General features: G+C 48.2%; 1 protein-coding gene and 1 pseudogene across 14 annotated transcripts in view, besides 9 other annotated features; both read left to right on the forward strand.

The window, feature by feature from the left end:
• Positions 277-346: an enhancer, noted in NCBI's record as "active region_3300". NCBI's record gives its function as "activates an Ori minimal core promoter by ATAC-STARR-seq in GM12878 lymphoblastoid cells {active_cell/tissue: GM12878}" and the evidence as "EXISTENCE:reporter gene assay evidence [ECO:0000049][PMID:35858748]".
• Positions 447-1,106: a silencer, noted in NCBI's record as "silent region_2332". NCBI's record gives its function as "represses an Ori minimal core promoter by ATAC-STARR-seq in GM12878 lymphoblastoid cells {active_cell/tissue: GM12878}" and the evidence as "EXISTENCE:reporter gene assay evidence [ECO:0000049][PMID:35858748]".
• The window catches only part of ZNF487 (zinc finger protein 487), an 87,047-nt gene continuing 64,025 nt past the window's right edge, over positions 559-23,580 (forward strand). For 3 of the 14 annotated variants that reach the window (XR_007061981.1, XM_047425633.1, NM_001355445.3), the window contains exon 1: positions 559-646. Coding sequence is in view for 2 of the 14 variants with exons in the window: in NM_001355448.2 (NP_001342377.1) it covers positions 852-866 (15 nt within the window). In the remaining 12 variants the exon portion in view is untranslated. Of the gene's footprint in view, positions 974-1,217; positions 1,315-17,775; positions 20,181-23,580 lie in introns of all 14 variants that reach the window. The other 11 variants (XM_047425632.1, NM_001355448.2, NM_001355447.2 and 8 more) reach the window with 7 other exon arrangements.
• Positions 18,503-19,391: an enhancer, noted in NCBI's record as "H3K27ac-H3K4me1 hESC enhancer chr10:43950240-43951128 (GRCh37/hg19 assembly coordinates)". NCBI's record gives its function as "activates a minimal SCP1, AML or CMV promoter by ChIP-STARR-seq in naive H9 embryonic stem cells {active_cell/tissue: H9 hESC(naive)}" and the evidence as "EXISTENCE:reporter gene assay evidence [ECO:0000049][PMID:30033119]".
• Positions 18,503-20,280: a biological region, named in NCBI's record as "H3K27ac-H3K4me1 hESC enhancers GRCh37_chr10:43950240-43951128 and GRCh37_chr10:43951129-43952017".
• Positions 19,039-19,118: an enhancer, noted in NCBI's record as "active region_3301". NCBI's record gives its function as "activates an Ori minimal core promoter by ATAC-STARR-seq in GM12878 lymphoblastoid cells {active_cell/tissue: GM12878}" and the evidence as "EXISTENCE:reporter gene assay evidence [ECO:0000049][PMID:35858748]".
• Positions 19,279-19,598: a silencer, noted in NCBI's record as "silent region_2333". NCBI's record gives its function as "represses an Ori minimal core promoter by ATAC-STARR-seq in GM12878 lymphoblastoid cells {active_cell/tissue: GM12878}" and the evidence as "EXISTENCE:reporter gene assay evidence [ECO:0000049][PMID:35858748]".
• Positions 19,392-20,280: an enhancer, noted in NCBI's record as "H3K27ac-H3K4me1 hESC enhancer chr10:43951129-43952017 (GRCh37/hg19 assembly coordinates)". NCBI's record gives its function as "activates a minimal SCP1, AML or CMV promoter by ChIP-STARR-seq in naive H9 embryonic stem cells {active_cell/tissue: H9 hESC(naive)}" and the evidence as "EXISTENCE:reporter gene assay evidence [ECO:0000049][PMID:30033119]".
• Positions 19,719-19,768: an enhancer, noted in NCBI's record as "active region_3302". NCBI's record gives its function as "activates an Ori minimal core promoter by ATAC-STARR-seq in GM12878 lymphoblastoid cells {active_cell/tissue: GM12878}" and the evidence as "EXISTENCE:reporter gene assay evidence [ECO:0000049][PMID:35858748]".
• Positions 21,654-22,209: an enhancer, noted in NCBI's record as "OCT4-NANOG-H3K4me1 hESC enhancer chr10:43953391-43953946 (GRCh37/hg19 assembly coordinates)". NCBI's record gives its function as "activates a minimal SCP1, AML or CMV promoter by ChIP-STARR-seq in naive H9 embryonic stem cells {active_cell/tissue: H9 hESC(naive)}" and the evidence as "EXISTENCE:reporter gene assay evidence [ECO:0000049][PMID:30033119]".
• Positions 21,776-21,840, forward strand: RNU7-193P (RNA, U7 small nuclear 193 pseudogene; annotated as a pseudogene).

Consider the following 23,580-nt stretch of genomic DNA (forward strand, 5'->3'; position numbering starts at 1 on the left):
TCCAACTGTGTGCATGTGCTTAACAAATACCTCCGCACCCAGGCCTGGGAAGTTGGCTGATTTGTGTACAGCAAATACGGCAGGCCTGATGTAGCAGAACTCTGACGAAAACGAACTGGACGCGTATTTCTCCTGCAGCGAAGGTCACGCTGCTGACAGCCTCTGCTTTGCACTTTGTCCCTGGGAAGGAGGCCTGTGGCCAGTCCTACCTCCTGGAAAGCCGGGGTGCGTCAGAGGACCTGATGCGGAGCGGGGACCCCATCCTCTCCGTGTCTCCCCAAGAGCCGGCGGCAGAGGCTGCCTGCGCTCCTTAAGCTAGGTCAGTTCTCTGGCCCGCAGTTCTCGTTCTCCTAACATCCTCCGCAGAAAACGACCTTCATTTTTTCCTCTTGCGCCAGTCTTGAAGCGGGGCGTCCTTTGGGCTCACGTTGCGGCGCCCAGCGGCCTCAAGCGTCAGCTGCCTCCAGGGCCTCAGGAGCAGTGGCTAGGGCCTGCCCTCCAGCGCCCGGGGTCCTCGGCCCAGCCCTGCTCCGAGCGCGTCACAATGGCGTCGCGGCCCCGCCCCCGGACGCCCAGCCGCGGTCCCAGCGACCTTCGCTTTCGTGGGGAAGCCGGACTGCGCCGTGTCTTCCTGAAGAAGGCTGGGGTAAGAGTCCGGCCAGCGGACAAGAGGGCAGCTGGTAGCAGGGTGGGATGCCCGTGGCATAGGGCCGAGCCCCCGCTAGGCACGCGGGAGCAGCAAGGCTTCCGGAAGCGCAGGGAGCGCTGGACTGGCGGGCGCCCGGGATTCGCGCAGGCCCCGCCCCTCGGCGGCCCCGCCCAGGGAGCGCTGCGGCAGTTTCCATGGTGAGATGGTCAACAAGCCTGTAAGTTCCTCAGCTACGACTACCAGGTACCTCGGGTTCCTCCCTCCTCCGAGAGACCGCCGAGGTGCGGGCTGTGAGAGGGGGAGCGTGGAGCCTCCGAGGCCGAGGTGAGGGGCGGCCGGCGGGCAGGGGCCGGGTCTGAGGTCGAGGGCCGCACACCCAGGATCGAGCGGGGACTGGGCCCGCTGGGGGTGGGGACCGTGGGGCTGGGATTTGGGATCAGGGCGAGTCGTGGCAGAGAGAACCCGGAGGATCTTTGACCCCAGTGCGGGAGCGGCCAGCCCACCCTAGAGAAGCGAGACAAGGGCAACCAGAAGGAACCGAGTCTGAGGAAGCGCTTCCTCTGGGCAGGGATATTGGGAGAGTCCTGGACGAGTGACCCTGGACCTAGGAGGCATGAGAGGTCTACACACACTTGCAAGGATACCTTCATGATTGTTGAGTTGTGGTGAGAAAAGAGGCTCTTTTTAGTTTATTTTTTAAGGCAGTACATTCACATCCTTAAGAGTCAGAAACTTGCACAAGGCCTTATTACTCAAAACTCCCTTTTCCCAGTTCCTTCTGAGGAAATAGTTGCAAATCTTTGAACTTTTTTCCTCCGGAAATTTTCTTTTTTTCTCTTACATCGGCAGCTCTTCACTGTGTTCTTCCTTCATTAGCTTTACTAAGTTTGTATTCTTTGGTTGGAAATATTTATTTATTTATTTATTTATAAATAGAAACAGGGGTATCACTATGTTGCTCAGGCTGGTCTTGAACTCCTGGGCTCAAGTGATTCTCCTGCTTTAGCTTTCCAAAGTGCGGGGATTACAGGCTGAACCACCGCCTGCCACCGAAATATTTCTTCATTGAGTTCCTTTGCCTCCTAGTGTTACTTTTCTGCTGTGTGTGTAATAGCCATTTGTTTTTTCTTTCTCCTTTCTGGTCATATCCTTAAATACATTTTGCACTAATTCCTTTTGAAACCTCATCATGGAGAGAACTTGAATTTAGCAGATTAGGGGTGAGTGCAGGCTTTTGTCTTAGGTTCCATATATATATATATTTTGAGGTGGAGTCTCCCTCTGTCGCCCAGGCTGGAGTGCAGTGGCGTGATTTTGGCTCACTGAAACCTCCACCTCCTGGCTTCAAGCAATTCTCCTGCCTCAGCCTCCCAAGTGACGAGGGTTACAGGCACGTGCCACCACACCCGGCTAATTTTTGTATTTTTAGTAGAGACAGGGTTTTGCCTTGTTGGCCAGGCTGGTCTCGAATTATTGACCTCAGGTGATCCACCTGCCTCAGCCCCCCAAAGTGCTGGGATTACAGGCGTGAGCCACTGCACCCAGCCCCCATATATTAAGAAATATACCCTTGTGTATTGTTGGTAAGAATGTAAAATGGTACAGCAGCTATGGAAAACAGTATGGCAGTTCCCTCAAAAAATTAACAAATAGAATTGCCATATGATCCAGCAGTACCACTTCTGGGTCTGAATCCAAGAGAAATGAAAGCGGGGACTCAGTTACTTGTACAGTCATGTTCATAGCAGCATTATTTGCAATAGTCAAAAGGGAGAGGTAACCCCAGTGTCCATTGATAGATGGATAAACAAAATGTGTCATATACAATAGAATATCATTCAGCCTTAGGAAGAAAATCTTGGCTGGATGCAGCGGCTCATGCTGGTAATCCCAGCACTTTGGGAGGCCAAGGTGGGAGGATTGCTTGAGTCCAGGAGTTCCAGACCAGCCTGAGCAACATAGCGAGATCCTGTTTCCACAAAAAATAAAATAAAATAAAGAATACAAAAATTAGCTGGGCAGGCCGGGCGCGGTGTCTCACGCCTGTAGTCCCAGCACTTTGGGAGGTCGAGGTGGGTGGATCAGAGGGTCAGGAGTTTGAGACCAGCCTGGCCAATATGGTGAAACCTTGTCTCTACTAAAAGTACAAAAATATTAGCCGGGCATGGTGGCACATGCCTGTAATCCCAGCTACTTGAGAGGCTGAGGCAGAAGAATTGCTTGAATCCGGGAGGCCGAGGTTGCAGTGAGCCGAGATCACGCCACTGCACTCCAGCCTGGGTGACAGAACGAGATTCCGTCTCAAAAAAAAATCAGCTGGGCATTGTGGCATGTGCCTGTAGTCCTAGCTACTCTGGAAGCTGAAGTCGGAGGATTACATGTGCCTAGGAGGTTGAGGCTTCAGTGAGCCATGATTGCACTGCTGTACTCCACCCTGAGTGACAGAGCAAGACTCCATCTCTTCAAAAAATAAAAATAAGATGGCCGGGTGCGGTGGCTAACGCCTGTAATCCCAGCACTTGGGGAGGCCGAGGAGGGCAGATCACCTAAGGTCAGGAGTTCAAGACCAGCCTGGCCAACATGGTGAAACCCTGTCTCTACTAAAAATACAAAAATTAGCTGGGCATGGTGGTGGGCGCCTGTAATCCCAACTACTCAGGAAGCTGAGGCAGGGAGAATTGCTTGAACCTGGGAGGTGGAGGTTGCAGTGAGCCGAGATGGCACCACTACACTCTAGCCTGGGTGACAGAGTGAGACTCCATCTCAAAAATAAATAAATAAGTGAAAATAAAAAAGAAAATGTCATATGCTGCAACATGGATGAATGTTGACGATATTATGTTAAGTGAAGTAAACCAGTAATGGACAAATATTGTATGATCCCCACTTATATGAGAATCTGAAGTAGTCAAATTCATGTAAACAGAAAAGTAGAATGGTGGTTGCTAGAGGCTGCGGTAAGGAGGAATGGGAAGTTGTTTAATGGGTACAGAGTTTCAGATTTGCAAGATGAAAATGTTCTAGAGATCTGTTTCACAACAATGTGAATCTACTTAAGACTGAACTGTACACTTTAAAAAGGTTAATTGGTAAGTTTTGTTTTATATATATATATATTTTTTTTTTTGAGGCGAAGTTTCACTCATGTTGCCCAGGCTGGAGTGCAGTGGAGAGATCTCAGCTAACTGCAGCCTCTGCCTGCCCGGCTCAAGCAATTCTCCTGCCTCAGCCTCCCGAGTAGCTAGGATTACAGGTGCCCGCCACCATGCCTGGCTAATTTTTTATATTTTTAGTAGAGACGGGCTTTTGGCATGTTGGCCAGGCTGATCTCAAACTCCTGGCCTCAGGTAATACGCCCGCCTCGGCCTCCCAAAGTGCTGGGATTACAGGTGTGAACCACTGTGCCCTGCCTATATTTTTAATCAAAGGAGTTTAAGGACGGGCACAGTGGCTCACACCTATAATCCCAGCACTTTGGGAGTCCGAAGTGGTAGGATCACCTGAGATCAGCAGTTTGAGACCAGCCTGTTCAACATGGTAAAACCCTATCTGTACCAAAAAATACAAAAATTAGCCCGGCATGGTAATGCTTACCTGTAGTCCCAGCTACTTGGGAGGCTGATGTGGGAGAATCTCTTGAATCTGGGAGGCAGAGGCAGCAGTGAGCTGAGATTGCGCCACTGCACTCCAGCCTGGGCAACAGAGTGAGACTCTGTCTCAAAAAAAAAAAAGAAAAAAAGAAACAGAAGACTACCCTCATATTTGTGGTCCTTTGTGTAGTTCCGCCTCATGGCTCCCTCCTTTGCCCTAGGGTAACCACTGTCTTCAACTTTATGCTTGTCACTTAACTTGCTTTTCTTTATAATTTGACTAAAATTGTTTGTATCCCAAAAAAAGACATATTGAGTAGTTTTGCATAACCTTGGACTTTTTTTTTGTTGTTTGTTTTTGAGAGAGTCACTGTGTTGCCTAGGCTGGAGTGCAGTTGTGTGATCATAGTTCACTGTAGCCTCGATCTTCTTGGCTCCAGAAATCCTCCCACCTTAGCCTCCCAAGTAGCTAGGACCACAGGTAAATGCTACCACACCTGGTTAAATTTTTTTTTTTTTTTTTTTTTTTTTTTTTTTTTTGGTGGAGACAGGGTCTCCCTGTATTGCCCAGGCTGGTCTTGAACTCGTGGGCTTAAGCAATCCTTCCACCTCAGCCTCTCAAAGTGCAGGTATTACAGGCATGAGCCAGGCTGCTTTCAAACTCCTAACCTCAAGTGATCCACTTGGCTTGGCCTCCCAAAGTGCTGGGAGTATAGACATGAGCCACTGCACCAGACCGCTTTGCCTTTTTTTTTGAGACGGAGTCTCACTCCTTCGCCCAGGCTGGAGTGCAGTGGCACGATCTCGGCTCACTGCAACTTCCGCCTCCCGGGTTCCAGCAATTCTCCTGTCTCAGCCTCCCGACTAGCTGGGACTACAGACACCTGCCACCGGGCCCGGCTAATTTTTTGTATTTTTAGTAGAGACGGGGTTTCACCTTGTTGGTCAGGTTGGTCTCGAACTCCTGACCTCAGGTGATCCACCCACCTCGGCCTCCTAAAGTTCTGGGATTACAGGCATGAGCCACCGCGCCTGGCCAATTTTTGTAGAGACAGGGTTTTGCCATGTTGCCCCAGCTAGTCAGGGTCTCTCTGTCACCCAGGCGGGAGTTGCAGTGGTGCGATCTCGGCTCACTGCAACGTCTGCCTCCTGGGTTCAAGTGATTCTCCTGCCTCAGCCTCCTGAGTACCTTGGATTATAGGTGCATGCCACTGTGCTTGGCTGATTTTTGTATTTCTAGTTGAGACGGGGTTTCACCATGTTGGCCAGGCATGTCTTGAACTCCTGACCTCAAGTGATCCACCCGCGTTGGCCTCCCAAAGTTCTGGGATTACAGGCGTGAGCCACCATGCCCAGCCTTCCCCTGTCTTTACATATAAATTTTAGAATAAGGTTGTTTATAAAATATCTTGCTGTGGTTGGCCATGTAGGCTTATGCCTGTAATCTGAGTGCTTTGGGAGGTAGAGGCGGGAAAATCAAAGTCAGGAGTTCAAGACCAGTCTGGCCAATGTAGCTAACCCTGTCTGTACGAAAAAAAATTTTAAATTTAGCTGGATGTGATGGCACATGCCTGTACTGTAGTCCTAGCTACTTGGGACACTGCGGTGTAAGGTTTGCTTGAGCTCAGACGTTTGAGGTTATAGTGAGCTATAGTAACACCACTAACACTGTACCCTAGCCTGGTCTACAGAGGGAGACCCTGTCTCTAAAACAACAACAACAACAACAACAACAACAACAAAAAAAAAACAAAGAAAAAAACTCTTGCTGTGAATTTGATAGGAAAAATGTTCAATTTATATATTGTTTTGGAATTTTGGAGAGCACTGACGTCTTTATTCTATTGAGTCTTTTAATCCATTAACATAGTACGTCTCTTCATTTGCTTAGATTTTCCTGAATTTATTTATTTATTTATTTATTTATTTTTTTGAGACGGAGTTTCACTCTGTCACCCAGGCTGGAGTGCAGTGGCACGATCTCGGCTCACTGCAACCTCCACCCTCCGGGTTGAAATGATTCTCCTTCCTCAGCCTCCTGAGTAGCTGGGACTACAGGCGCCTGCCACTGCGCCTGGCTAATTTTTTGTATTTTTAGTAGAGATGGGGTTTCACCATCTTGGCCAGGCTGGTCTTGAACTCCTGACCTCGTGATCCACCCGCCTTAGCCTCCCAAAATGCTGGGATTACAGGCGTGAGACACCGCGCCCAGCCCTGGAATTATTTTATAAGCATTTTGTAGTATTCAGGGTACAAGTTGTGTTCAGCGTACAAGTCTGATATGTGTTTGTTAGATTTATAGCTAAGTGTGCTTGCTTCGACAGCACATATACTAAAATTGGAATGATACAGAGATTAGCAATTTAAAGTATTTTTTAAATTTATAGCTTAGTAATTTTTTCAATTATTACAAATGGTATTTTATTTTTAATTTAATTTAGGTGTCCATGTTTTATTGCTAATATATAGAAATACAGTTGATTTTTTAGTTGAGCTTATGTTCTATGACCTTTCTAAACTTACTCGTTCTAGCTTTTTTTTTTTTTTTTTTGAGACAGAGTTTTGCTCTTGTCGCTCAGGCTGGAGTGCAATGGCATGATCTCTGCTCACTGCAACCTCTGCCTCCTGGATTCAAGCAATTCTCCTGCCTCAGCCTCCCGAGTAGCTGGGATTACAGGCACCCGCCACCACGCCTGGCTAATTTTTATAATTTTTAGGAGAGACGAGGTTTCACCATGTTAGCCAGGCTGGTCTCGAACTCCTGACCTCAGGTGATCCACCCACCTTGGCCTTCCAAAGTGCTGGGATGACAGGCCTGAGCTATCCTGCTGGGCCTAGTTTTTGTTTTTGTTTTTTTTTTTTTGAGATGGAGTCTTGCTCTGTCACCCAGGCTGGAGTGCAATGGAGCAATCACGGCTCACTGAAACCTCCCCCTACCGGGTTCAAGAGATTCTCCTGCCTCAGCCTCCCAAGTAGCTGGGATTACAGGCACATGCCACCGCACCCAGCTAATTTTTGTATTTTTAGTAGAGATGAGGTGTCACCATGTTGGCCAGGCTGGTCTCGAACTCCTGACCTCAGGTAATCCACCTGCCTCAGCCTCCCAAAGTGCTGGGATTACAGGAGTGAGCCACCATGCCCGGCCCGTTTTTTTTGTTTTAATCAATTTTTTTTGTAGAGATGGAGGTCTCACTATGTCACCTAGGGTGGTCTCAAACTCCTAGCCTCAAGCAATTCCCCCCAACTCAGCCTCCCAAAGTGTTGGGAGTACAGACACGAACCACTGCACCTAGTGGAGGAGTTGTCTTTTTGTATATTGCTTGAATTTTTTTTTTTTTTTTGTAGACACAGTCTCTCTCTGTCACCCAGGCTGGAGTGCAATGGCGTGATCTTGGCTCACTGCAACCTCTGCCTCCCGGGTTCAAGCGATTCCTCTGCCTCAGCCTCCTGAGTAACTGGGACTGCAGGTGTGCACCACCACACCTGGCTAATTTTTTGTATTTTTAGTAGAGATGGGGTTTTCACCATGTTAGCCAGGATGGTCTCCATCTCCTGACCTCGTGATCCGCCTGCCTCGGCCTCCCAAAGTGCTGAGATTACAGGCGTGAGCCACCGCGCCCGGCTCCTAAAAGTTTTCTAACAAAGCTCCTTCTCTCCTTGTCCTTTGGCTAGAAAGCGACAGATTTTCTTAGGCTTTTAAAATCTGTACCCATTGATGTTTTCAGATTGCTGGCTTCTGTAACATCTAGTCTGGGATATATGAGGCAAAAAGAATACCCAGTGAACCCAGCACTGTGTCGTTCTTTGAGTTCCAAGATCCCGTGCTGGTCTGCTATTTTCTACCTTTCAGTCCATATCATGTTTATTTATATATAATTTCAGGGTATTGAGCTTTACTTAATGGGAGGAGTATGAAGCAGTACCCTGAACTGGAAGTGTTGCTTTCATTTTTGAAAGACATTTTTGTTGCCGGGCGTGGTGGCTTTCCTTTGTTTAGGTTTCATTGAGCTTCTTGGAATTATAGGTTTACAGGTTGTTCGTTTTTTGTTTGTTTGTTTGTTTTTGAGATTAGGTTTCACTCTGTCACCCAGGCTGGAGTGGCATGATCTCAGCTCACTGCAACCTCTGCCTCCGGGCTCAGGTCAGCCTCTCATCTCAGCATCCCAAGTGGCTGGGACCACAGGCGCACACCACTCCAGGCTAATTTTTTTATGTTTTTGGTAGAGATGGGGTTTCACCATGTTGCCCAAGCTGGTCTTGAACTCCAGAGCTGAAGTGATCCTCCTGCCTCGGCCTCCCAGGCAGTGCTGGGATTACAGGTGTGAGCCACTGCAGCTGGCCTTAGATTTATGGGTTTTTATTGTAAGGGTAGAAAGATTTAGGCCATCATCTCTTTGAATATTTTTTATGCCAACAACCCCCCATCCTCCTTCCAGTTATGTATATCTTAGGCTGCTTTAAATCATGACACAGCTCAGTGATGTTCTTTTCATTGTTTTGGATTTTTTTTTCAGAAATGAACTTAGTTGCCTTTAAGTTCAGTAATCTTTTCTTCTGTAATGTCTAATCTGCTGTTCATTTCATTCAGTGTATTTTTCATCTCAAACGTGGTTTTCATTTTCAGAATTTTTTTTTTTTTCTTTAGAGACGAGATCTTACTAGGTTGTGCAGGCTGGTCTTGAATTCCTGGGCTCAAGCAATTTTCTCACCTCAGCCTTCCAAAGTGCTGGGATTATAGGTGTGAATCACCACAACTGGCCCACTTTCAGAATTTTGACTGGATGTTTTTATATCTTTCCTATACTGTAATTCTCATTGTAGGTCATGTTTTCTTGCCTGTTTGCATGCCTGGTATCTTATTGGATGTTAGGCATTGTGAATTTTACTTTTTGGATGCAGGATATTTTTGTATTCCTGTGAATCTTCTTGAGCTTTATTCTGGGATATAGTTAAGTTACCTGAAAACAGTTTGTTCTCTTTGGTTTTTGTCTTTTCAGGATTATTAGGCAGGTCCAGGGCATTGTTCATTCTGGGGCAAATTATTCCCCACTGCTAAGGCTAGATCTTCCTGAGTACTTTACCCAATGGGCCATGAATTATGACATTTTCTTTTTTTTTTTTTGATCCTCAAAAATTTTATTTTATTTTGTTTTAATTTTTTTTTAGTATTTATTGATCATTCTTGGGTGTTTCTCCGAGGGGGGATTTGGCAGGGTCATAGGACAATAGAGGAGAGAAGTTCAGCAGATAAACATGTGAACAAAGGTCTCTGGTTTTCCTAGGCAGAGGACCCTGCGGCCTTCCGCAGTGTTTGTGTCCCTGGGTACTTGAGATTAGGGAGTGGTGATGACTCTTAATGAGCATGCTGCCTTCAAGCATCTGTTTAACAAAGCACATCTTGCACCGCCCTTAATCCATTTAACCCTGAGTTGACACAGCACATGTTTCAGAGAGCATGGGGTTGGGAGTAAGGTTATAGATTAACAGCATCCCAAGGCAGAAGAATTTTTCTTAGTACAGAACAAAATGGAGTCTCCTATGTCTACTTCTTTCTACACAGACACAGTAACAATCTGATCTCTCTTTCTTTGCCCCACGTTTCCCCCTTTTCTATTCGACAAAACCGCCGTCGTCATCATGGCCCGTTCTCAATGAGCTGTTGGGTACACCTCCCAGACGGGGTGGTGGCCGGGCAGAGGGGCTCCTCACTTCCCAGACGTGGCGGCCAGGCAGAGGCGCCACCCACCTCCCAGACGGGGTGGCTGCTGGGCGGGGGCGCCCCCCACCTCCCAGACGGGGTGGCCGGGCGGAGACTCTCCTCACTTCCCAGACGGTGCGGCTGCCAGGCGGAGAGGCTCCTCACTTCTCAGACGGGGCGGCCGGGCAGAGGCACTCCTCAGTTCCCAGACAGGGTCGCCGCCGGGCAGAGGCGCTCCTCACCTCCCAGATGGGGTGGTGGCCGGGCAGAGGCGCTCCTCACCTCCCAGACGGGGTGGCGGCCGGGTAGAGATGCTCCTCACCTCCCAGACGGGGCGGCCGGGCAGAGGCGCTCCTCACATCCCAGACAGGGCGGCCGGGCAGGGGCGCTCCCCACATCCTAGACGATGGGCGCCCGGGCAGAGACGCTCCTCTCTTCCTAGACGGGATGACGGCCGGGAAGAGGCGCTCCTCACTTCCCAGACTGGGCTGCCGGGCAGAGGGGCTCCTCACATCCCAGATGATGGGCGGCCAGGCAGAGACGCTCCTCACTTCCTAGACCGGGTGGCGGCTGGGAAGAGGCTGCAATCTCAGCACTTTGGGAGGCCAAGGCAGGCGGCTGGGAGGTGGTGGTTGTAGTGAGCGGAGATCACGCCACTGCACTCCAGCCTGGGCAACATTGAGCACTGAGTGAGCGAGACTCTGTCTGCAATCCCGGCACCTCAGGAGGCCGAGGCAGGCAGATGACTCGAGGTCAGGAGCTGGAGACCAGCCTGGCCAACACGGCGAAACCCCGTCTCCACCAAAAAAAAAACCAGTCAGGCGTGGCAGCGTGCCCCTACAATCCCAGGCACTCGGCAGGCTGAGGCAGGAGAATCAGGCAGGGAGGTTGCAGTGAGCCGAAATCGAGGCAGTACAGTCCAGCAGAGGGAGACGGTGGAAAGCGGGAGACGGAGATGAGGGAGAGGGGGAGACCGTGGAAAGCGGGAGACGGAGACGACGGAGAGGGGAGAGGGAGAACAACATTTTTTTTTTGAGACAGAGTCTCGCTCTGTTGCCCAGGCTGGAGTGCAGTGGCACGATCTTAGCTCACTGTAACCTCCACCTCACGGATTCAAGTGATTCTCCTGCCTTAGCCTCCTGAGAGCTGGGATTACAGGCATGTGCCACCATGCCCAGCTAATTTCTGTATTTTTAGTAAAGACGGGGTTTCACTATGTTGGCCAGGCTGGTCTTGAACTCCTGACCTCAAGTGATCTGCCTGCCTCGGGCTCCCAAAGTGCTGGGATTACAGGCGTGAGCCACCACGCACAGCCTGAATTATGACATTTCTAATCTGCCTGGTGTAGGAACAGGCACTATTCCATGCCCTGTGTGAGCACTGGGCACTATTCCCTCTGATCTTTTTAGATGGTTCTTTTGACAGATGTGGGTAATGCCCTTATACTCATGTACTGATCAATACACTGCTGAGCTCTCAAGTGGGACGCTGCAGGTCTCTGGGGTTTTCTCTCCATGCAGCTCTTTCTTCTCTGGTGCTGTGTTCTGTGAATTCTAGCTGCCTGTGTCTCCCCAGACTATCAAATCTATCTTTTCAACTCAAGGAATCTGCCAGGCTCTGCCTTAGTTATTTTTCCTTGTAGCACATTCTACAAACTACTCAAGTCAGTTAGCTGGGGCACTTGTAGGACTCATCTCATTTGTTTCCTATCTCTTAGGGATTACTCTCTGTTTTCTGATGTTCAGGGTCTTGGAAACCATTTTTTTTTTTTTTTTTTTTTTGAGACGGAGTCTCACTCTGTCGCCCAGGCTGGAGTGCAGTGGTGCGATCTCGGCTTACTGCAAGTTCCACCTCCCGGGTTCACGCTATTCTCCTGCCTCAGCCTCCGGAGTAGCTGGGACTATAGGTGCCTGCCATCATGCCCGGCTAATTTTTTGTATTTTTTGTAGAGACGGGGTTTCACCGTGTTGGCCAGGATGGTCTCGATCTCCTGACCTCGTGATCCACCTGCCTCAGCCTCCCAAAGTGCTGGGATTACAGGCGTGAGCCACCATGCCTGGCCAATTGGAAACCATTTTTGTCCTTACGTTTTGTCAAAAAATGTTTTTTTTTTCCAATATAACCTGGTCCCTGTTACTCAATTCGTCTTGCGCTGAAGTGGAGAATTGAAGATGGGGCATCAAGCATTCATTTCATCTCTTATTGAATTCTAATAATAAAAGTACAGTTGACCCTTAAACAAAATGGGTTTGACCTGTGTGGGTCTATGTATATGTGGATTTTTTTCTTTTTTAAGGAGATGGGGTCGGCTGGGTGCGGTGGCTCCTGCCTGTAATCCCAGCACATTGGGAGGCCGAGGCAAGTGGATCACTTGAGGCCAGGAGTTTGAGACTGACCTGGCCAAGATGGCGAAACCCTGTCTCTACCAAAAATATAAAAAATTAGCTGGGCGCGGTGGCGCACACCTGTAGTCCCAGCTATCGGGGAGGCTGAGACAGGAGAATCGCTTGAACCTTGGAGATGGAGGTTGCAGTGAGCCAAGATCTTGCCACTGTACTCCAGCCTAGGTGACAGAGGAAGACTCCGTTTCAAAAAAATAAATATATAAAAATAAAAAAAATGAGCTGGGCATTGTGGCAGATGCCCATAGTCCCAGCTACTGGAGAGGATGAAGCAGGAGGATCACTTGAGCAGGAGATAGAGGCTGTGGTGAGCTCTGATTGCATCACTGCACTCCAGGCTGGGTGACAGAGTAAGAACCTGTCTCCGAAAAAAAAAAAAAAAAAAAAAGGCTGGGTGCAGTGGCTCAGGCCTGTAATCCCAGCACTTTGGGAGGGTGAGCCAGGCAGATTGCCTGAGCTCAGGAGTTTGAGACCAGCCTGGGGGACATGGTGAAACCCTGTCTCTACTGAAATACAAAAAATTAGCAGGGCATGGCGGCGTGGGCCTGTAATCCCAGCTACTTTGGAGGCTGAGGCAGGAGAATCGCTTGAACCTGGGAGGCGAAGGTTGCAGTGAGCCAAGATTGTGCCACTGCACTCCAGCCTCAGCGACAGAGCGAGACTCTGTCTCCAAAAAAAAAAATCAACTGTATATCTAATGGTACTGAAAAGAGAGAAACCACAAGACACTGGTATATATTGACATACACAAGTCACAGAGAATAGAAATGGACTGGATGTTGAAGCACAGTGATGCATATATTATTATTCAAGTCAACTCACTATTTAAAGCTAATTTCATAGGAAAATTCTACTTAATTCAGTCTAACATTATGTAAGTAACCAAGGAAGAGTTAACAGCTGTGTTACAGAAGTGAACTATAAGCTTGTGAATTCAGTATTTAAAAAAAAATTCCTTTTCAGTATTTTGTAATGCTTCAACATGCATTTTGAGCTTATTTCTGTTTATATTGTTGTAATGTTCCTCAGCAGTTAACATGTATTGAAGCATTTTTTTTTTTTTTTTAATGAGACTGAGTCTCACTCTGTCGCCCAGTCTGGAGTGCAGTGGCACTATTTCAGCTCACTGTAACCTCCGCCTCCTGTGTTCAAGTGATTTTCCTGCCTCAGCCTCCCAAGTAGCTCGAATTACAGGCACCCACCACCACTCCTGGCTAATTTTTGTATTATTAGTAGAGACGGGGTTTCCCCATGTTGGCCAGGCTGGTCTCGAACTCCTGACCTCAGGTGATCCACCTGCCTTGGCCCCCAAAGTGCTGTGATTACAGGTGTGAGCCACCATGCCAGGCCTGAATGTTTACTTTTACTTTTAATGTAAGTTTTAATTTAAATACTGATACTTGATTCAGTTATTGGAAAACTTTTTTGTTTTGAGACGGAGTTTTGCTCTTTTTGCCCGGGCTGGAGTGCAATGGCACGTTCTTGGCTCACTGCAACCTCCGCCTCTCGGGTTCAAGTGATTCTCCTGCATCAGCCTCCCGAGTACCTGGGATTATTGGCATGTGCCACCACACCCGGCTAGGCTAATTTTGTATTTTTAGTAGATACAGGGTTTCTCCATGTTGGTCAGTTTGGTCTCGAACTCCCAACCTCAGGTGATCCATCCGACTTGGCCTCCCAAAATGCTGGGATTACAGGTGTGAGCCACCAAGCCCGGCCTCTTTTTTGCTTTGTTTTTTTTTGAGACGGAGTCTCACTCTGTTGCCCAGGCTGGAGTGCAATGGTGAGATATCGGCTCACCACAACCTCTGCATCCTGGGTTCAAGTGATTCTGCTGCCTCAGCCTCCTGAGTATCTGGGATTACAGGAATGTGCTACCACACCTGGCTAATTTTTTGTATTTTGAGTAGAGACGGGGTTTCACCATGTTGGCCAGGAGTTCGACTCCTGACCTCAGGTGATCTGCCCGCCTCGGCCTCCCAAAGTGCTGGGATTATAGGCGTGAGCCACCATGCCCAGCCGGAAAGCTTTTAAGTGCCCAGAATAATTTGGGTGTGTGAATGCCTTTTTATCCATAGTAAATTTAATAAAATCTAATTATAGATCAAGTATTTCTGATGTAAATTTAGCATCTAAATTTAAGTGGCTGTGAAGTATAAAATAACAGTAGATACCAATGACTTAGAAGAAAAAAAAGCCTTGACATCTCTATTTCCTCGTCTCTAAAGGTGATAACACTTGCACTATGGTGATCCTACTAGTAATACATTTGGAGCCACGTTGTAAACTTCAGAGTTTGCACCATTATTATTATTTTTTTATTATTATTATTTTTTGAGATGGAGTTTCGCTCTTGTTGCCCAGGCTGGAGTGCAATGGCGCGATCTTGGCTCACTGCAACCTCCATCTCCCAGGTTCAAGGATTCTCCTGCCCCAGCCTCCCTAATAGCTGGGATTACAGGCATGTGCCACCACGCCCAGCTAATTTTGTATTTTTAGTAGAGACGGGGTTTTTCCATGTTGGTCAGACTGCTTGTGAACTCCCGACCTCAGGTGATACGCTTGCCTCGGCCTTCCAAAGTGCTGGGATTACAGGCGTGAACCACCATGGATGGCCTATTATTATTATTATTAGAGATGGAGTTTTGCTCTTGTTGCCCAGTCTGGAGTGCAATGGTGCGATCTCAGCTCACTGCAAACTCCACCTCCTGGATCCAAGTGATTCTCCTGCCTCAGCCTCCTGAGTAGCTGGGATTACAGGTGTGCGCCACCAGGCCTGGCTAATTTTGTATTTTTAGTAGAGACGGGGTTTCACCATGTTGGTCAGGCTGGTCTCGAAGTCCTGATCTCAGGTGATCCACCCGCCTTGGCCTCCCAAAGTGCTGGGATTATAGACTTGAGCCACTGTGCCTGGCCAAAGTTTGCACCATTATTATTATTATTATTTTTCTTTTGAGATGGAGTTTTGCTCTTGTTGCCCAGGCTGGAGTGCAATGGCGTGATCTCGGCTCACTGCAGCCTCCACCTCCCGGGTTCAAGCAGTTCTCCTGCCTCAGCCTCCTGAGTAGCTGGGATTACAGGCATGGGCCACCACGCCTGGCTAATTTTGTATTTTTAGTAGAGACGGGGTTTCTCCATGTTGGTCAGGCTAGTCTCGAACTCCCGACTTCAGGTGATCCTCCTACCTCAGCCTCGCAAAGTGCTGGGATTACAGGCGTGAGCCACCGCACCTGGCCAGTTTGCACCATTATTATGGGAGCACTTGCAAAGCCTGCCAGTTGATGGTAGGGTGGAAAAGAAGAGGACAACTAGAAGAGAGTTCCTACACCGCAAAGTAAACTTTGCTGGCTCTGCGAGGAGCAGGAAACCTGCATGATGAGAACAAGGACTGGGTGGCACTGCAGGAAATGCTCAATTCGAGTTTCACTTCCTGTGTTATCACTTTTTCTTTGCTGCAATTTCATCTTTGTTGGTCAATTCTCTTTTAATTTTCCATTTTTTTACATTCTATGTAAATGTAGTTTTTATGAACTAGAGAGTCTGACTCCATATTTTATCTTTGACTACTGTCAGCTCTCAAGCCCCACCTCTTCCCTCCCCTTCTGTCCCACACCTGGATGGCTGATTCAAAAGCCCAGGTGCTTCCTCTTTTGGCTCTAAAGGCAAGTTCAAGCCATGCAGGCCCCAGCATGTGCATTGGAGCCTTCATTTCCCCCCCACTCCTTAACCTTAATAACACCCAAAGCCAGTCTCTCTTCCCTGCTCTCAAGCCATTTTTTTTTCTTCTTTTTCTGGAGACAGGGTCTTGTGTCACCCAGGCTGGCGTGCAGGGCCCTGATCACAGCTGCCAGTAGCTGGAACCACGGGGGTGTGCCACCACGCCTGGCTAATTTTTTAATTTTTTTTTTGTAGAGATGAGGAGTGCCACTGTGTTGCCCAGGCTGGTCTCAAAACTCCTGAGCTCAAGTGATCCTCTCTTGGCTTGGCCTCCCAAAATGCTGGGGTTACAGGCATGAGCCATTGCACCCAGCCTTAAGCTATTTTTGAACCCATTTGGGATTCATCCCTGTTCTCCCCAGAAAGCCTCATGTGAGTCATAAGCCTTTACATATTCTCTCTGTGCATGTGGGGCTGTCACCAGTTTTGAAAAACCAGGTTTTGGGTGGGGAATCTATCTCGTATCTTTGGGTAATATCACAGATAAATACAGCAGACATTAACATTTTATTCAGTAACCACTGACAGTAGGGGAAAGAGCTGAGCTCCATTCTGATTTGTGCAGTGATGATCGGGCTTTTTTTCTTTTTTTGGTGGTTGGATATTTTATACCTTTTTTTCCCCAAATACTCTCCACTGAATGTAGTCGACTGGTGATTTTAAAGGGGGAATGAGGGAGTATGGAGGGGTATGAGTTGGGGCTCAGTAGAGTTGGGGATGTGAAAAATTACAAGGGACCAGTGTAAATGTGATGAGGCCAGCGGTGTCTGCCTGCTGGCAATGGTCAAAGTTAGATTCCATCCTCCCACAGAGACTGGGAGACAGAGGCCTTATCTTTCCCAATCACTACATTTCAAAGCAATGGCTCCTTGAGAAAGCAATGTTCCTTGAGAAAGACACTTCTTAGCTGTAGGAGATACACACTTGCATACACATACACAACATGTGTATCACATAAACATCTCAAAGGGACAGAGGACAGATTCATAATTGTAAGTCCTTTTTAGTAAATGCTCTTAAGAGAGGGCGGTCAGGAGCCTATGGTCAGATATTGGCAAGAATAGTAAGTTATCCTGGCAGCACTGAGATTTCTCAGGCAGGCATTTTAATGGTGGGGACAGGGGTCATCCTGGGAACACAGGCTATGCTACTAGAAGCCATGCCAATTTGTCTCTCAGTGCAGAGTTTCAGATGGAGTTATGGGGGGAGAGTTCTGCAGTTCTCAGTAACCACAACAGTATATATCACTGGAAGATGAAGCCCACACAACTACAGATGTTACTGTTTCTGAGTGAGCCGAATAACAAACTTACAGTGAGCAGTCACCAACAGACAGAAGTGATGTGATTGGTTACTGATCATGACATGCATTTGTTATTAATGTGATGATGTGTAGACTGAAGAGCTAGCAGCCTGCACTTTATGCGAAAACTCACAGTTAATATACTGTGTACCTGAAATTTGAGTTGTGTCGTTGGGGGACTGGTGTTATTAAATCATGGTGACTGAAATTCGTGCATATCAGAACTGTACCAAGCAAGGGCTGCCTGATGAGTATAATGCTCTCATGTTTTATGGGAATTTATATAAATTTAAAATAATATGAATAAATATTTGAAAGTTGTATGTTATGCACAAGGTTTGAAATAATGCAATTCTTTTAATATTTTAAAAAATTGTTAGGACTCAGATTTTCTTTTATCTTTTCTTTTTTTTAAGGTACGGAGTCTCGCTCTGTCGCCCAGGCTGAAGTGTAGAGTGCAGTGGCATGATCTCAGCTCATTGCAACTTCCACCTCCTGGGTTGAAGCAATTCTTCTGCCTCAGCCTCCGGAGTAGCTGGGAATACAGGTGCAGGCTGCCACGCCCGGCTCATTTTTGTGTTTTAGTAGAGATAGGGTTTCACCATGTTGCCCAGGCTGGTCTCAACTCCTGAGCTCAGGCAATCCTCCCGCCTTAGCCTCCCAAAGTGGTAGGATTACAGGCGTGAGCCACTGCACCTGGCCCTCGACTCACAGATTTTCAAAATACTTTTGAACAGTAAGCTGAGGACAGTGTTTATTATGACTATACTGGTCTCCTTTCACTAGCTCACAAAATTTAACTACATCACTTGTCAGTCTCCTAAAAATGCAGTGTATGTGCTTTGAAACTTGTGAATGATCTGCTGATTTGTGCTATTTTATATTCAATGTTGTTGAAAGAATAGTTTTTAAACCAAGTAATGCAAAAATTTAGTGTAACATGAATGCTTGTGCTGTAAAACATACTGGAAAATCAATAGCTCTGGAATAAACTTTGGATTTTTAATTAAAATTGATTTTGATGTACTTATGCTGTTAAATTGGTAGAGACTAGTCTGAAAAGCTGAGAAAAGATAAAGCAGAATTAAAACAAAATCTATCTTATTCGTAGAGCCATGTCAAGAATGCATTCTCTCTACACCTATTCCAATGGGCACATTAGTACTTGATTATGCAGGGAGTGAATCATGCCAAGTCTTCACGTACACATTGCTCCTATCACTGCTGTGCAGTGAGCCGTGACTGCGCCACTACACTCCAGCCTGGGCAACAGAGCCAGACCTTGTCTCAAAAAAAAAAAAAAAAAAAAGTCCTTTAAGGGATACGAGGCTGTGTGTGATAGTCGTTTTCTTTTAGTTTGCACTTTTTTTTTTTTTTTTGGAGACAGTCTCGCTCTGTTGCCCCGTCCGGAGTGCAGTGGGTCCATCTCGGCTCACTGCAAGCTCCGCCTCCCGGGTTCAAGGCCTTCTCCTGCCTCAGCCTCCCGAGTAGCTGGAACTATAGGCGCCCGCCACCACGCCCGGCCAATTTTTTTTGTATTTTTTAGTAGAGACGGGGTTTCACCGTGTTAGCCAGGATGGTCTCGATCTCCTGACCTCCTGATCCGCCCGCCTCGGCCTCCCAAAGTGCTGGGTTTACAGGCGTGAGCCACGGCGCACGGCCTAGTTTGCACTTTTATTCACCCCCAAATTCTGTGTATTGCAAGTAAGTCTCAAATTTTGAGAAGCGAGCACCATCCCATTGGCATCGTGACTACCAACCACCACATCACTCAGCTGCTTTGCTTTCCGGGAGAATCCCTGCGCCGTGGGTTCGCTCGCCTTTCCATGCCTGCCGTGCAGGCGTCCTTTGCGGTCTTTTGTCCACGTCCGGGTCAACGCCTGACGCGCCCCTTCCCGGCTGGACGACGCAGCTCAGGGCGGGGCGAGGCGAGGTTGTGTCGCGGAACCTGACGGGAAACGGCCCCTCTAGGTCCGTGGCGCGGCGCGCTTGTGGCAGCGACGGGCACTGCCGCGCATGCGCGGCCCATTTCCGAGAGTGGCAGGGCTGGGCGCGGTGGGGTCGCCTCTGGGGTCAAAGAGCACGCCGAGCCCGCCGGAGGGCGGGGCCGCGGCCTTGGCCCTTTGGCGCGTAGGAGACAGCGCGCCAGGCTGGCAGCCGGCCTTAGCGGCGTTTGCTGCTCTTGTGCGGACGCCACTGCGCGCCCTAGTGGGGACTACGGGGACGCTTCGCGCTCCAGGAAGGAGGCGGGCACCGCCCGCTCTAGCACAGTCCGGGAGCTGGACCTCGGGGTTCACCGCTCTGCTTGCCCACTAAAAGCCCATTCGGCGGAAGTCCAGCGTTGCATGGTTACAGTACTGAGCCCCAGACATCGTTGCCAAGTATAATGCAGGCTCTGTTTTATCCTGGGGCACTTGTAGTCAGGGTTCGTGGGCCCGCACTTCATAATGGAGGGCTGCGGGCCTCGTCTGAACCGTCCAGCCAGTGTGTCCTCAGTCGTCTTGGTTGGGTTTTTGAAGAACCAACCCGAGATTCTGGGGCACAGGGAGTTACAAGACTTGGGGCCCTGATGTAAGCCCCAAATAAAATGATTTTGGCCCCTAGGGCCAGATCCGAGTTTCTAAAAACAGAGCAGCACTTGTAAGGTAGAGGAAGCGTGGCCCACCTGAATGGGGACTTCTCACCAGAGTTTCACAGCAGCGGAAGACGAGGCTGAGGAAGAGCACGGCCCATATTTGCACGGAGAGGCAATATGTAATGCCTGTGCTCCACAAGCCACCCCAGCTGACTCAACAGGAGTTTTGCTCCAGCTGTCAGAGAGGTGAGCTGGGCCTAAGGCTAGGGTTAGGCTTGCCCAGGAAATGTCTCTCCATTTTCAGGGTTGAGAGAACCTGGTTGGGAGGGAAAGAAATATTACTACCTCTAAGAAAATTATTTTTCTTTTTCTTTTGAGATGGAGTGTCGCTCTGTCGCCCAGGCTGGCGTGCAGTGGTGGGATCTCGGCTCACTGTAGCCTCTGCCTCCCGGGTTCAAGCGATTCTCCTGCCTCAGCCTCCAGAGTAGCTGAGATTACAGGTGCGCGACACCATGCCCGGTTAATTTTTGTATTTTTAGTGAAGATAGATTTTCACCATGTTGGCCAGGCTGGTCTTGAACTCCTGACCTCAGGTGATCCGCGCGCCTCTGCCTCCCAAAGTGTTGGGATTACAGGCGTGAGCCACTGCTCCTGGCCAAGAAAATTATGTCTTAAACACCCCAACGGCCTTTGAATTTTTCTGAATTATTTACTCATTCCAGATACCGAGAGCTTCCCATACTATGCCAATTACCGCAGGTGGCCTTGAGAGATGTGGGTGCTTCCACCATGCTTACTCAGAAAGTAGTTCAGGAAACAGTTTCCTGGATTACCAATTTCTGCCTGACATGAAAGATGAAAACCACTGAACTCCAGAGGGGTGAATGTCCAGGTCATCCCATTCATTAGCTACTCCAGAGGCTGAGGCAGGAGAATCCCTTGAGCCCGGAAGGCGGAGGTTGTAGTGAGCCGAGATAGAGCCACTGCACTCCAGCCTGGGTGACAGCGTGAGACTCCATCTCCAGAAAACAAAACAAAACAACAAAACAAAAACCCTAGCGCGGTGGCTAACGCCTGTAATCCCGTCACTTTGGGAGGCCGAGGGGGGAGGATCACAAGGTCAGGAGTTCGAGACCAGCCTGGCCAACATAGTGAAACCCCGTCTCTACTAAAAATAAAAAGATAGCTGGGCATGGTGGCGCATGCCTGTAATCCCAGCTACTCCAGAGGCTGAGGCAGGAGAATCGCCTAAACCCTGGAGGTGGAGGTTGCAGTGAGCCGAGATTGCATCACTGCACTCCAGCCTGGGCGACAAAGCAAGACTCTGTCTTGGGGAAAAAAAAAAAAAAAAAAGAAAAAGAAAAGAATTCCTCATGAGATCGCTTGAACGCGCGAGTTGGAGGTTGCAGTGAGCCGAGATCACACCACTGCACTCCAGCCTGGGCAACAGAGGGAGACTCCGCCTCAATTAAAAAAAAAAAAAAATTCCTCATGAGACATTAAGAGTTACAGCTCTTTGCCGGGCAGGGTGGCTCATGCCTGTAATCCCAGCACTTTGGGAGGCCGAGGCGGGCGGATCACGAGGTCAGGAGATCGAGACCATCTTGGCTAACATGGTGAAACCCCGTCTCTACTAAAAATACAAAAAATTAGCTGGGTGTGGTGGCGGGCGCCTGTAGTCCCAGCTACTCGGGAGGCTGAGGCAGGCGACTGGCCTGAACCCGGGAGGCGGAGCTTGCAGTGAGCTGAGATCAGGCCACTGCACTCCAGCCTGGGTAACAGAGCGAGACTCCGTCTCAATAAAAAAACAACAACAACAAAAACAAAACAAAACAAAAAAAAAGAGTTACAGCTCTTTTAGAATTTGTCTGGCAGGCTTTCCAGTTTTTGCCAGTGTGAACCCAAAATATCTGAGATAGGCCTCAGTTAATTTAGAAAGTTTATTTTGCCAAAGTTGAGGACACGCGCCCATGACAGCCTCAGGAGGTGCTGATGACATGCGCCAATGTGGGCAGAGCACACTTTGGTTTCGTACATTTTAGGGAGACATGAGACATCAATATATGTAAGATGAACATTGGTTCAGTCCGGAAAGGCAGGACAACTGGAATCAAAGGTGGGACAACTTGAAGGGCAGGTGGCTTCCGGGGTCTTAGGTACAGAAGAGACAAATAGTTGCATTCTTTTGAGTTGCTAATTAGCCTCTTCAAAGGAGGCAATCAGCTTTGCATTTATCTTAGTGAGCAGAGGGGTAACTTTAAATAGAGTGAGATGCAGGTTTGCCCTTAGCAGTTCCCAGCTTGACTTTTCTCTTTAGCTTAGTGATTTTGGTGCCCCAAGATTTATTTTCCTTTCACCCTGGAAAGCCCCTTAAAAACAAAAAACAAAAAACAAAAAACAGTTCTTGGCATTGAAGTCTAAAAAACATTGTTTTTCCGGTCTTCCTGTAGATGACTTAGTAGAGAGTCTTCAGTCTTTCAGTGAGTACCAGAAATCAGTGCAGTCTGCTGCTTGTAATTGAGTACTTCGTGTGGGTCGAGTACTCAGTCAGTACATTTCTAGGGATGGAGGCACCTTGGTCCCATAGACCTCTTTCTGATGGTCCTGCTTGATCCAGGCATAGAAGCTGGGATAGCTGCATGAAAGAATGGATTATGTCACCTTCAGATACACTCCTTAAATGTATGTGTAGATTGTACAACAGCAAGGTTAAAGCTGTATTTTCTGGCAAGTATCTCCACATTTCCCTTTCTTATTTTGAACAACATGACTTGCTGGATCTGCCTGGTAGGGGTATCCAAATGTCATGGATACTTTAGTGCTTGCCTTAATTGAGCATTCTGTCCAGTTGATGCTCATGTTTAATCTCCCTAAAATGTCTTCTCAGTTGGTTTCTGATCTAGTCCTTCCTCTGTAATTATTTCTTTTCTGTCTTGTCCGTGAAGTCTTCTTCCTCTTCCTGCCTCTCATTATTGCTGTTCCCAAGGTATCCAGTCTTTTTCTTTCTTTCTTTCTTTCTTTTTTTAGGTGTAGTCTCACTTTGTCTCCCAGGCTAGAGTGCAGTGGCATGGTCTTGGCTCACTTCATCCTCCGCCTCCCAGGTTCAAGTGATCCTCCTGCCTCAGCCTCCCAAGTAGCCGGGACTACAGGTGTATGCTACCACACCTGGCTAGTTTTTGTACTTTTAGTAGAGACAGGGTTTTGCCATGTTGGCCAGGCTGGTCTCGAACTCCTGACCTCAGGTGATCCACCCACCTTGGACTCCCCAAATGCTGGGATTACAGGCGTGAGCCACTGCACCTGGCCCTTGGTTTGCTGAGACTTTTTATCATCCAGTGGGTATTGAACTTTTAAAAAAAAATTTTTAAGTCAGGTCTCACTCTGTCACGCAGTCTGGAGTGCAGTGTTGCGATCACAGCTCACTGCAGGTAACTCTGACTTCAGTCTCCCAGGTAGCTGGAACTGCAGGTGCACAGCACAATGCCTGGCTAATTTGTTTATTTTTTGTACAGACAGGGTTTTGCCGTGTTGCTCAGGCTGTGAGTTTATTATTATTATTATTATTATTATTATTATTATTATTATTATTATTTTCTGAGATGGAGTCTCGCTCTGTCGTCCAGGCTGGAGTGCAGTGGCTCAATCT

The sequence above is a fragment of the Homo sapiens genome, chromosome 10 (assembly GCF_000001405.40).
Source record: "Homo sapiens chromosome 10, GRCh38.p14 Primary Assembly".
NCBI lineage: Eukaryota > Metazoa > Chordata > Mammalia > Primates > Hominidae > Homo > Homo sapiens.